We start from the raw sequence: 14,435 nt of genomic DNA on the forward strand, positions 1-14,435 counted from the left end.
ACTGCAAGCTCCACCTCCTGGGTTCATGCCATTCTCCTGCCTCAGCCTCCTGAGTAGCTGGGACTACAGGAACCCGCCACCACGCCCGGCTAATTATTTTTTCGTATTTTTAGTAGAGACGGGGTTTCACCATGTTAGCCAGGATGGTCTCGATCTCCTGACCTCATGATCCACCCACCTTGGCCCCCCAAAGTTCTGGGATTACAGGCATGAGCCACCACACCCAGCCTGGATGGGCTCTTTCTTAAACAGACTTTAGCTTCATATAGTTTAGGTGTTTGGCGGCTCTCCAATCTAATGATGACATCTAGTTGCAGGGAAGGCAGATGTGTTAGAGCAGAGAGACCATGAAATATAAACACTTTAGCAAATATGGAATAATTAACAATATTTTTAAGGTGTACCAGAGGCCAGTTTCCAGAAAATAGCTAGAAGCTACTGCTGGAAAGACCCTAGTCAATGATTTGAGGGAGGTAAGAGAGAAACTGCTAGGGCAGAGAGGCAGGTAGTTGGAACACAGAATGTATTTTAATAACAGTGACATTTCTCAATGGTAATTATGAACACAACCAGGGTGGCAAAAACACCCTTAACGATATAAAGCAACTGACAAACTTGAGATGGGATAAACCCTTTCTGGTAGTTGGATATTCAGATAGATTAGTGCAGTGACTAGGAGCCCACAATTTTCCAGTTCAAAAGAACAAATGGTGGAATGAGAGACAGGCTAATAATATGCAACAGAAAATGAGACATTATTTTTATAATTTATTTTTGATGTTTGATATCCATGATTCTGTATCCTATGAGTAAACACAACCTATTTACTGTAAAGAGCTCAAGAGCATTGACTTTTTTGTCTGTCATATAATTTAAAATGCCTCATACTTTTATTTCTAAAGAAACTACATTTTAAATGTTTCACTCAAGAATCTGAAGAAGGGATTTGGTTTATTAGCAAGATGTATGGGCATAAAATCCTTTTCCCATCCAGTTAAGAAAATGTAGAGGGTATTCACTTGTCACAGGAAAATCTCCCCAAGAAATGTACGTTGGGCTGTAATTAACGCCAAGAGTGGGCGTCTTTAAAAATTCCATATGAATTATTCCTCCTGGCTCTGGGGCTACTAAAAGCAACTTTACTAGTCATCAGAATGTGTCTGGGATCAATGTCACCCAGTGACGGGAACAGGAAGGCAGGCCAGCCTGATGCTGGCTGTGCAAGGTTTGAGTGTGTGAGCCCACCATGCTCCGGAAGTCCTCCCCACCCTACCCCTACCCACAGGCATATTTTCATATGGTTCCCTATCGTAAGCGAGTTCCTTCGTCACCTACCACTTCCCAGCTCTGTTCCCTGGACCCAGAGCCTTTTTTCTTTTTTGAGATGGGGCCTTGCTGTGTTACCCAGGCTGGTCATGAACCCCTGGGCTTAAGTGACCCTCCTACCTCAGCCTCCTGTGTAGCTAGGACTACAAGCAAGTGCCATCATACCTGGCCAGAGCCCTTTTTTGTTGTTGTTTTCTTAGCCTAAACTGTATCTTGCAGCTTCTCTGAGTCTTTTCAGAGCCAGGCCTATCCTTTTACACTCATTGTACCCACCTGTGTTTTCACTCCATCTCCATCTCCTGAGTGGCAGCAGCTGTCTTCTTCCTGGGGCATCTGCACTTCCTTCTGCACTCAGGATCTGCCACTTGCTCTGACACTTTCTGTGTCCCTCTGTCATAACCTCCCATTTGCAATACATAGTGGGGAGCTTCTGTTTCAGATTGTGAGGAGGAAAGAACAGTCCTCAAGATGCCCTTTCGGTCTCGGTTATTAGATCAATCTCTATCTTTATTTTCTGTCTCAGAACCCTTCATCTCAATGTGCCCCACAAGTAATGCAGACCAAATTAGGGGAAGGCAGGACACAAAGCTCTGAGACATGTCAGGAAGGGATGGGGACGGGCCAGTCAGTGTCCTGTACAGCAAATGCTCAATGCTCCTTACGGCATTTTTAATTAGTCAGAATTCTGAAACCTGGTATAGACTGAGCCTATCTTCATGGATTGTTTCACCTCAAACCATCACACAGTTCTTACATCTGAGAACTTTCTCCTTAGAATTATCACCTTAGTGTGATCTGAAGAGCAAGTTCCCCTCAAATTTGACCTACTTAGACCTCGCTTGCAAAACCCCATGCTGGAGGAAAGGCAGCGTGCCTGCTTCTTGGCTCTCAACCGTGACAAATCCTAGGTTACCTTGGAAATGAGGCAGAAAACTGCAAAGAGCACCTGACCAACTAAGCAGAAAGGAGGCCAAAGAAAGCCCAACTTCATTTATAAAATAACCAACATGACTTGATCTCATACAATGAAATAGAAACTGAGGAACAACTGTGGTTGTATAATCTTTGATTGTATAATCTTTCTAAAAACAAGTCCTTTATGTTGTAAAACACTAGCTATTAATTAACGTGGGAAAATGCTCAAACTAAAGAGGTATATGTCCTAATAGTATTTACAAACAGCTCCCTTTTGGGAATGTAATTCTTCCTCGGTCCTGTATTTTGTATAGTTCTGACTCTTTGCCCTCATGATTCTGACATATTGCAGGACTAGGCCCTGGGTTTGTTTCATCGTCACTCTTATTTTATGTCAATTACATTTTAATGTTATTATTGTATATTTAAATGCATATAACCATCTGATTATGCCTTATTATAAAGTGTTTTGTCATCATCACTCTTTTTAAAATAAGTACCAGAAACATACCTTTAATAACACAGGGTTTTAAAAACAGAAAATGAGAACCAGAAGACAAAGTGTATTTTGATAGTACGCTTAGTTTTTTTTTTTGTTTGTTTGTTTGTTTGAGACGGAGTCTCGCTCTGTCGCCCAGGCTGGAGTTCAATGGCGTGATCTCGGCTCACTGCAACCTCTGCTTCCCGGGTTCAAGCAATTCTCCTGCCTCAGCCTCCCGAGTATCTGAGATTACACGTGCACAACACCATGCCCGGCTAATTTTTTGTATTTTTAGTAGAGATGGGGTTTCACCGTATTAGCCAGGATGGTCTCGATCTATCTCCTGACCTCATGATCCACCCGCTTTGGCCTCCCAAAGTGCTGGGATTACATGCGTGAGCCACCGCGCCCAGCCAACAGTAAGCCTAGTTTTATTCATTTTTTAAAAAAAGATCTAAAAAATCAAGCTTAAGTGGCATTTTACATTTTATGTTTTCAGTTATTTAATAGTTTTAACAATTACTTTACACAGAACCCCCAAATTGTCCACAAACACCATAGGTACCTCATTTTGAAAAGGATATTTTTGATAAAGATGACTAGCTAAGAAATAAAGCAAGAAAAGCAACACCCAAAATGTGTGCCCCTAGCTCATTCTGGAGGTATTTAGTGGACAGTCTCTCTTGAATCCTAAGCAGGCTGGTCATGCTTGGCCCAGAATTCCCAAATAATGATTTGCGTCTGAAATTTCCCATAAGGTTTTGCAATGTTCCACTCATACCTATGACAGTCCAGAACAATACTAATCCAGAAGCATTTTTAGGTAATTGAGAGTACATTTTTTAAACACAATCTATGCACAATACAGTGATTAGGCATATTAGGGGTAAAGAGCTTTACAAAACATTGCTGAAACATAATTGCGAGTCTGAATCAAATCAAAAAGACCACAGAAATATTCAGTATTGTATCTTAGTTTCTGTTAAGTACTTTCAAAATGTATTTAATACTAAAAGTAATTAGTAGAAGAGAATTTGAATTCTTGATTTTTGTTCTGAAAATTTTTACTCTCGATATATTAAACAAACATGGAAAACTTCTGTATTAAAGTCTTCCACATGTAAACCATTTGTCATTCATTCATATATTTTTCTACTTTACTTCTTTACCAAAAATCGTGTGATGTCTGATCCATGCTTTGATGCTAGAGATTGTCTTCTCACCTGGCTTCTTTCCTTAGCTTGTCTGGCAGTTCTCTAAAAGTTAAAAAATATGCATGTGTACACGTTAGGAAAAAAGCACCGGCTACAAAAGCTCAAAAACTCTTTATATTGTTAGTTTGGAAAATCTACAGTCACTACACCCATTTTCCAGTGGTTGGCTATGGAAGAGTTACCAAACCACAAGGCAGAGTATCTCAGCAGCTCTGAGATCCTGAGGTCCTAGGTTCATAGGACCAACATAGCAGGAGAAAACATACAACTTGGGGGATGTCTTGCTACCCAGCAACAGCATGAATTCCTCATTTGGAGACTAGGAAGGCCCTGATTCTCCCATCCAAGTGGGAGGTTTTTTTTTTTTTTTTTTTTGAGATGGAGTTTTGTTCTTTTGCCGAGGCTGAAGTGAAGTGATGTGATCTCGGCTCACTGCAACCTCCGCCCCACAGGTTCAAGCAATTCTCCAGCCTCAGCCTCCAGAGTAGCTGGAATTATAGGCACCTGCCACCACACCCAGCTAATTTTTGTATTTTTAGTGGAGACGGGGTTTTGCCATGTTGGCCAGGCTGGTCTCGAACTCCTGACCTCAAGTGATCCATCCACCTCAGCCTCCCCAAGTGGGAGTTCTTAAGGCAACTTGGGATTACCCAGCGAAGAAAATCTACCCACTTCCTATTCTCTGATCCCAGAGGCCATTTCCAACTCAACAGATGAGCTGGTGCAGAAAATAAAATGACATAGACCAGAACTGGATTCTTCTGCTAATCCCACAAATAACATTTTTCATGAGAATCTAAAAAAATAATTACAGAAAGGGCTGCATTTTCTTTGGCTATTTCTTAATTCTCTTATAGGTCTTGAATTTGCTAATAACTTGCACATCTGAGAAATCAGATGACTTTTTTTTCCCAATTGAAGTCCATGTGAGGTGTTCCAGGCGGAAACAGTAAGGACAGAAGAGAAGCTTACGGTGGAGGGCGGTGGCTCACACCTGTAATCCCAACGCTTTGAAAGGCCAAGGCAGGTAGATCACCTGAGGTCAGGAGTTTGAGAGCAGCCTGGACAACATGGTGAAACCCCGTCTCTACTAAAAATACAAAAATCAGCCAGGTGTGGTGGCGGGTGCCTGTAATCCTAGCTACTCAGGAGGCTGAGGTAGGAGAATCAGCTTGAACCCGGGAGGCAGAGGTTGCAGTGAGCCGAGATCATGCTGAGATCACACCATCACACTCCAGCCTGGGTGACAGAGCAAGACTCTGTCTCAAAAAAAAAAAAAAAAAGTAGTAAAGAGTTCATACTTTATAAACATTGGCAAAGGATCTGAAATAGTACTCAAAAGTTTAAATATAACTGATTAGCATCTTTTAAAAACATCGATGTCTTTAGCAAACAAAACAATTGCAGGCCATTCTCCCTGCACCACATTGGCACCCACTGACCATACCCAGTGGCAGTTAAATGGGCTTCTGGGGCCATAAATGAGTAAAATTCTTTGGAAAACAGTTTGGTGATAAATTCCTACATTGTCAAAAATATCCAAATACTTGTGACTCCGTGATTTTTACACATGAGAATCTACCTTAAGGAATGACCTCAAAATGTAGAAAACAGGTTTGTTTACAAAAAATGTGCTTGGTGGCATGATATATAAAAGCAAAAAAATTTAGATAAATATTAATCAGTATGGGAATGGTTAAGTAAACTACAGTAGAGATCTGCTCAATAGAATACTGTATTATGCAGTCATTTTAGATGATATAAGTTATGAATGGTTAGAGTACATGAGAAATGCTTAGATCTTGCTGTAAGTGAAAAAAAGTTGAATACAAAGTTGCATATTGAATATTTCTATGATGATCTCAGCAGGTAAATCCCACTACCTTTTACTGGACTGCCTGTAAAAAATTCATCCTGGTAGATAAACAATAGTATGTGTTTTTTCCTCTCATTCTAAGCAACAGGTAACTAACTACCCAAAGATGGGGCAGAGTTAATTGGTTTCATACTTTGGCCAGCAATGAAACCTTTGCATGTTGAACTGAGTTGGTCCTAGAGATAACTTATCAATGTTTTCAGATATTTCAGGATATCCTTAGTTATATGCAAACATGTATCACTGCCCCAATTCACCAAACTTCCAGTTTGAGGATCCGGGTCTCATCAAGACAATATGTAAACTGTATTCATTTCTTTCTTGGTAGTGGTGCAAATGTCTTGGTCCTAGAATGAATGAAAAGGGAAGCAGCTTCTCTTGCATCTGTGACACGGGCCTTGAGAGGAAAGGCAAGTGTTGGGTGATGAAAGGAGTAAAATGTGCCTCGAATCTCAGACCAGAGATAAATTCATCCACATAATCTTCCACAACTGTGTGCACAATTTTCCATTTGACTTCTCAGGATGCAGTCAAAGCTATATGAGAGCTTCACTGACCTCTTTGTGACAGACTGTGCAGAGAGTCTGCAGGTTGTCCAGGGAACACTGTCCTCCTCCCCCATACACTGGCTTGATGTGATCCACCTGCCAGAAATGTCCTTCCCCTGGGTTTCTTATCATTTCATTTAGCTGCAATAAGAATACAAGATCAGCAATTTTCAACATATACTGCAAGAAGTGTTTGTTGGTTTTGCATTGTGCAATCATGTATGTTTATACAGGAAAATCATGGGGAAAAATACATCAGGAGAGCTTTTTATAGCTTTTATTGTGAGTAGAAAAAACCCTCTGTTAGAAGTTTGAAAGCAATAAGATGTGTTTCTGAAAGGTTTTTTTCTCCCTTAACCTAACTCATTTTGAAAAAATTACAAGAAAATATAAAATACCAAGACTCCTGACAGATTGGGAAAAACTGGTTTTTCTACACCTGTAAGTTAGTTTATATATTCACTAAACCAAATCTAAGAAAAGAATAAGAATAGATTAGAAATTTAAAACTTCTCAGCCAGGCACAGTGGCTCATGCCTGTAATCCCAGCACTTTGGGAGGCCAGGGCAGGCGGATCACTAGGTCAGGAGATCGAGACAATCCTGGCTAACACGGTGAAACCCCGTCTCTACTAAAAATACAAAAAATTAGCCAGGCACGGTGGCAGGTGTCTGTAGTCCCAGCTACTGCGGAGGCTGAGGCAGGAGAATGGCGTGAACCCGGGAGGTGGAGCTTGCAGTGAGCAGAGATTGCACCACTGCACTCCAGCCTGGGTGACAGACTCGGTCTCAAAAAAAAAAAAAAAAAAAAAGAAATTTAAAACTTCTCAATACTACTGAGTCAAACAATCTTTAATTGTTGACCTAAATGCTTTTGTCACTATACAATGGCAGTTTAATGTCAATAGCTATTACCTAGAACTTTTATACTATTCACCAGAGAACTTTCCAAGTTATGTGAACTGGAATGAAATTTCTAGAACAAATATCTGTAACTTGCATATTTGGAATAATTAAAGATGACCATTTAAAGTAGCCTTTATTTAGGCCAGTCCATATATACACATTTTATATTTAATCAATGATAACCTACATTAAAATGGGATGTATTTTATCATTTTACCTGAGGTAGTAAAACCAACTCACACCACGGCAATGCAGTTGTCTAAATATCACAAAGATGAGTATGGCACTTGCTTTTATTTCCTTCAACTTCACGGCTGCTGGCCATGGGAACCCATGATTATGTATAAAGCCTGTTTAAGCAAGCCTGTCAGGCACAATGACCTGATCAATAGTGCTGGCCCATGAGGAGTCACAAGAGGCAACAAGTTGGAGCAGTAAACTTTGTCCAGCTGACCTTTGTTACTGCCTGCCTTACCTTCTCTTCTGTGCTGAACTTCCCAACTTCTGTTAGAAGAAATGTATTGATTTTTGTTTTTGAGGTTGGCATTGTTAGAAGCTACTACAAATGGCGGTCTTGTGCATCAAGCAAATGGCATAGTCTTAGGGAAAAAAAAATCCATTTTGGTTTTGCCTTTTTAAACCAATTCCTTCTCTCTGAGCAGCCCCCACTCTGACAGACTCAATAATTCAGAAGATGCTTCTTTAGTTTTTCCAAGCAATTGTAAGGCAAATCACTTGAGGCCACTCTTCAATATCCTAAATTTGCCCACCTCTTGAAGGAATCACTTGATGTGGTAGTGCATGCCTGTAATCCCAGATGTTTGGGAGGCTGAGGCAGGAGGATCACTTGGCCCAGGAGCCAGGAGTTCAAGATCATCCTGGGAAACACAGTGAGATCCCAGACCCAATCTCAAAAAAAAAAAATATATATATATACATATATATATATAAAATATAAAAATATATACAATAATATATATTATATGTTTTATTATATATTATTATAAATATATATTTATATTATATATTTATATATATATTATATATACTTATATATATACATTATATATACATATAAAATCACTCTCTAGTCCTACCCAATTCGAGCCTATTGTGTTCCTTATTCTCAGAGCACTTTTGTTTTAGATGTCTATTATATTACTTCTGCATTCCTGGACAGGTTGCTTTCAATGACCTTGAGTCATTTTGTTGCATGTCTTCTGGAAGCCATCATGCTGAAACAGCAGTAACTGGAGTCTGACTGACATCCCTGGGATGTGTACAATATGTCCCTCGCCAATGAGACCAAAAGATCTTTCAGGAACTCTGGATATCATTAGAGAAATAGTGTATTTCCCTATCTCTCAGAGACATGCTAATTCATCTTTGCAGAAATGCCGATTAATTCATTCTTTCATAATTCAGCAACACTGTCCTAGGTAAATAAAAATATATAATTTGTCAAACTGGCAGGAATTCATCCAATATTTTAGTGGGCACACAGTGGCTGAGGGGTGATTCTTTTTAAATTAAGCACATTACAAAATTACATTTTATTTAGAGATACGGTCTCGCTCTGTTGCCCAGGCTGGAGTGCAGTGGCACCATCACAGCTCACTGCAGCCTTGACCTTCTGGACTCAAGCAATCCTCCTATCTCAGCCAACCAAGTAGCTGGGACTACAGGTGCATGCTACCACACCTGGCTAATTTTTCAGGTTTTTTTTCTTTTGTAGAAATGGGGTTCCACTAGCTGGGACTACAGGTGCATGCTACCATACCCGGCTAATTGTTCTGGTTTTTTTCTTTTGTAGAAATGGGGTTCCACTATATTGCTCAGGCTGGTAACTCTTGGCTCAAGCAATCCTCCCGCCTTGGCCTCTCCAAGTACTGGGATTACAGGTATGAGCCAACGCCTGGCCTAGTTTGAAATTTAGAATTGTTCAGATAGCAAGATTAGAAATCCAGTTGAATTTTGGAAATGAAAGTGAATATTGATGATAGTGTTCTATAAATAATAATTTGTCATAATTTGTTGTATTAAAATTACATTTTTCAATGCAATGAACACATATATGTGTGTGAGTGTATATACACATACATAGCCTCTGATTGTGATGGACTACATTTCTGGGTTATCTGTTTGCCTCTTGTCTTTCAATATTAACATGGAAAGGGGAATCGCCAGACCATAGGTGCCTCTTGATATACTGCACCACCTGTTAAGATCTTTTCCCAAAATAACTGAATGAGAATGAAACTAAGCCTCTAGATCTTACAATTCTTACTGAGAAAATTGGGGGAACAGAAGAACATGTCAAACAATACCTTGCAGATACAGGAAGACAAATCCAGAATGGCAAATGATCCAGTATATTCAACCATTGATAGTATGATAGTATAAAAAAGGAATGGGGTGCTATAATAGATTAAATGAAGCATAAGAGGCATTATAATCAAATATACTATGTGGGTGACATTTTGATTCTAATTTGAACAAAGTAACTATAAAATACTTTTTTTTTTTTTTGGAGACAGAGTCTTGCTCTGTTGCCCAAGCTGGAGTGCAGTGGCATGATCTTGGCTCACTGCAACCTCTGCTTCTCAGGTTCAAGCGATTCTTCTGCCTCAGCTCCCGAGTAGTTGGGATTACAGGTGCTTGCCACCACGCCTGGCTAATTTTTTATACTTTTAGTAGAGATGGGGTTTCTCCATATTGGCCAGGCTGGTCTCGAACTCCTGACCTCAGGTGATACACCTGCCTTGGCCTCCCAAAGTGTTGGGATTACAGGTGTGAGCCACTGAGCCCAGCAAAAGGCATTTTTGAGACAACCTGGGAAACCAAACATAGACTTAGTATAATTAAGGAATTGTAATTGTGTTGGGTGTGATAACTCATACTGGGATTATATTTAAAAGAAAGAGAGGAAAGGAAATGAGGACAAGCAAAGAGGGAAGGAGGAAAGGAGAAAAGGAAGGAAGGGAGGAAGGAAGGGAGAGAGAGAGAAAGGGGAAGAGGGAGGGGGGAACAGGGGAGGGAGAGGAAAAGAAGGATAGAAGGAAGGAAGGAGGTCTTTACCTGTGAGAGATACAGAATGAAAATATTCAAGAGTGAAAAGAAACGTTTGGAATTTTCTTTAAAATAATCTAGGAGATGGCCGGGCATGATGGCTCATGCCTGTAATCCCAGCACTTTGGGAGGCTGAGGCGGGTGGATCACCTGAGGTCAGGGGTTCAAAACCAGCCTGGCCAATATGGTGAAATCCCGTCTCTACTGAAAATACAAAAATTAGCCAGGTGTGGTGGCACATGCCTGTAATTCCAGCTACCCAGGAGGCTGAGGCATGAGTATCGCTTGAACCCAGGTGGCAGAGGTTGCAGTGAGTTGAGATTGCGCCACTGCACTCCAGCCTGGGTGACAAGGGCGAAACTCTGTCTCCAAAATAAATAAATAAATAAATAAATAATAAATAAATAAATAAATAAATAAAATATTCTAGGAGAAACAAACAAGTGAGTCAATGACAGATGAAAATGAATGCCAAAATGCTGTAAACTGTTAAAGCTGGCTGATGGACATATGGGTCCATTATTTTCTTTCCTTTTATATATCTGAATATTCCCATGTTAAAATGTACAAAATAGAGAGTCAATATTCATTACTCAGTACAATGCTGCCTTCTATCTATCACATGATTATAACTTACCTGTTCTAATGGGAGCTTTGAAGTCCAGGTAGCATACAGAAGATTCTTCCTCTGACTTTTAGGGGCATCTCTCAGACGTAAAAAGAGTTCTTGTGCGTTCACATTACAGAGCTGACACACACCATGTTCAGTTTCAAATACTTTGGCTCTCAGGTAACTGTTATTAGATCGAATCCAAAACTCTTCCTGACATTTCAGAGAGCAAAACCGTGAATCCCAAGAGTTCGCTTTACATGCTTGCTTAGTCTGGCAAGTGGGTTGCTGACAGCGAAGGCAAAGTGGATTTCCTTCATTATCCACAGCTTGCAAATAGCCTTTGGATGTAGAGGGCTTCACAGTGAGATCTGCCTGGACTGTGTATGGATTTAGAAATGGGACACAGGCTCCATCTTCAAGAAGTTTTCTACAATTGATAAAAACACTGAATAGGTAACTAATGAATGATTAGGCTAAATAGTAATTGCTTCATATAAAGGTTATCAAAGTTTCAATACGGATAAATAGTAAACACAGATCACAGTGTAGAAATAAAATAGTTACAGTCAGCACTCTATATTCCATGCCAAGTAAAGAAGAATGGTGTGTTACAAAAATTAATTGAATATAAATATGTTGCCTCTCTTGGGAATTAACACAAGGGGATGCCCTTGTGTTAAACGATCTGGAAACATGTGAAACATCTGGAGAAGCTGTTAGAAAATGCTTCTTCAGGCTGGGAAAGGACAGGCTAATGTAAAACCCCAACCAAAGCTTAGTGGCTACCCTGCTCCTTAAATATATGTGGTCACACACCTCATTAGCTCAGAGAGGTAATTACAAACTCTCTCCTCCAGCCTCTGCTAGCTCACAGGAAATAGAGTCACAGCCATAAAGTGACAGAGTGAAATAGCTGACAGTGCTGATAGGAATTAGAACAGAAGACTTGCTCTTATAGGTAAACGCAGAGTGGATGAAATTAAACATGATAGGATACAAAACATGATAGGATATGTGCTCAATTTGTTAGAATAAAAGAAAAGGTACACTACTCAATTTTGTTAGAAAGTCCTACTTGGGAAGTAACAACAGCTGCTTTGTCTGTTTTCCATGGTTGTTTGTTAGAAGAGTTAAAAGAAAGACTTCTAATTATGGAGCTCAAGATTCGGGGACAGAGCCCAGATTTAACCTCAGGTCTCCTGGCCTCTACCCGCAAGCCCTGGGGCAGGTTACTTAGTCCACCTGGTCTCAGTGTCCTTCTTCATCTCTAATGTTTAAAATGAGGACACCAGGTACCTCAACAGGTTGCTAGGACAACTGAAGAGCTACTATCTTGTGAAAGTTCTTTGTAACCTCTAAAGTGGTCATGCAAAGGTGAGATATTATTATGAAAATCAATACATAAATGTAAAGGAGTGGAATTAGTACTACTATATACTAGTAGTAGAAAAACCTTACTTTGTGAAAGGATCCCGTGGCCTGGACTCCTTTGTGATCAGACGGACATGGCCCCCAACATTCTTCACTTTGTCCATTGAGGCTACGGCAACATCTTCTTTGGTTATGTATCTAAAACAATGATATGTTAAATAGATTCCCTCTATCTCATATAAAAATGTCTCTATTGCATGTTTACATTGTTCCTTGCAAAAGCAATAGAAGAAAAAGCAAGCACAATTCTATTAACTGTGCTGAAACTCAAGTTAGAAAATGGAATTTTTACCCTTTATCTTGGTGTCCATTATGTGAGAAATACATCTCTTTGTTCCAAATTAGTTTTCTCAAATTTCTTTTTCTAAGAAATTCAAGAGTCATTCAATATCCTTTGGAGCAATTTTCATTTAGGGGAAAAAGGAGTCGGTGTGAGAATAAGAAATGATCAAATACACGCACAACTGACAGCCTTAAGGAAACTGCTTGGCAAGCTGTGCAGAAAATCTCTAACTGTATTTTACCTCCCTCTTGGCCTTCCCTTCAAGGCTTCTCCAAATCACCTTAGTCAGTTATAATAGTGTATCAGTGTTTGGGTAAACTGAGTTTCTTTTTAGTTAACCAGGTTCAATCACATCTTCTGTAATCTCAAGGTTGTTCCCCTTATTATCAGCCCATACAGGGTTTATGGATTCTTCCACAGAAATAAAGCCACTCTTGATATGGGATTCAGAACCTTATTACCCAACACTAACAATACCACACAATGTTCAGGGACTAGAAGTAAAGAGAAGTTATTCCCATTAAAGGTGATGGGGGAATTTAAGTTGGTAAAATGCAATTACCTGATTAATTCCTTCTTATTAATTGGCCTAGTTTCTCTGGTGGTTTACACCTATTGTAGATTTTTTTGGAAATTAGTTTAAACATGAATTTCTTAATATTATTGAGTGCTTCTTAATTAGGCAGCTTGACAATAAAATTAAAGTTCAATCACAATGGAATTGTGCAATCGTAGGTAAAATTTTAGAAATTTGCTTTATGTTATTAGGATAGATTTAATAATAAACAGGTTTCCTTTTTTAATAAACTATTTTATTAATTTTTGATTAGGTGATATAAGCACATGGTTCTAAATTCAAAAGGCAAACAAGCATGTTTATGGTGATGAGAAATTTTCTCTCTCACTCCCATCTTCCTTTTTCCCCTCCCCAAAAGTTACCTCTGTTGGCAGTTTTGTTTTTATTTTATTTTGACTCAAAATGATCTTGAGTCATTTTATTGCATGTCTTCTGGAAGCCATCACACTGAGACAGCAGTAACTGGAGTCTGACTGACATCCCTGGGATGTGTACAATACGTCCCTCACCAATTAGACCAAAAGATCTTTTAGGAACCCTGGATATCATTAGAGAAATAGTGTATTTCCCTATCTCTCAGAGACATGCTAATTCATCTTTGCAGAAATGCTGATTAATTCATTTTATTTTATTTTATTTTATTTTATTTTTTGAGACAGGGTCTCACTCTGTTGCCCAGGCTGGAGTGCAATGACACTATCTCAGCTCATTGCAACCTCCGCCTTCTGGTTCAAGCTATTCTCATGCCTCAGCCTCCCGTAGCTGGGATTACGAGCACGCACCACCATGCTTGGCCAATTATTGTATTTTTAGTAGAGATGGGAATTTGCCATGTTGGCCAGGCTGGTCTCGAACTGGCCTCAATTGATCCGCCTGTCTCAGCCTCCCCAAGTGCTGGAATTACAGGTGTGAGCCACCGTGTCTGGCTCATTTTAGAAATAGTTTATTTTTGGCCTGGCATGGTGGCTCATATCTGTAATCCCAGCACTTTGGGAGGCCAAGATGGGTGGGTCTCCTGAGGTCAGGAGTTCGAGACCAGCCTGGCCAACATATTAGTCTGCTAATAGTGATAGGTATCTCATCATAGATTTTAAAATTCGCATTCCTATTAAGAGTAAGGGGGAATATCTTTTCACACATTCACATGGTGAAACCCTGTCTCTACTAAAAGTACAAAAATTATCTGGGCATAGTGGT

General features: G+C 39.7%; 1 protein-coding gene across 3 annotated transcripts in view; it reads right to left on the minus strand.

Moving 5' to 3' along the window:
• Window positions 1-506: 506 nt before the first annotated feature.
• Window positions 507-14,435, minus strand: part of ZRANB3 (zinc finger RANBP2-type containing 3) — a 334,250-nt gene continuing 320,321 nt past the window's right edge. For all 3 annotated transcript variants that reach the window (NM_032143.4, NM_001286569.1, NM_001286568.2), the window contains 4 exons: window positions 12,406-12,516; window positions 10,972-11,374; window positions 6,370-6,501; window positions 507-3,978 (listed from right to left, as the gene is read on the minus strand). In NM_032143.4, the coding sequence (NP_115519.2) occupies window positions 3,880-3,978; window positions 6,370-6,501; window positions 10,972-11,374; window positions 12,406-12,516 (745 nt within the window). In that variant the 3' untranslated portion in view covers window positions 507-3,879. The remainder of the gene's footprint in view (window positions 3,979-6,369; window positions 6,502-10,971; window positions 11,375-12,405; window positions 12,517-14,435) is intronic.

Source organism: Homo sapiens, chromosome 2, assembly GCF_000001405.40.
Source record: "Homo sapiens chromosome 2, GRCh38.p14 Primary Assembly".
Taxonomy (NCBI): domain Eukaryota; kingdom Metazoa; phylum Chordata; class Mammalia; order Primates; family Hominidae; genus Homo; species Homo sapiens.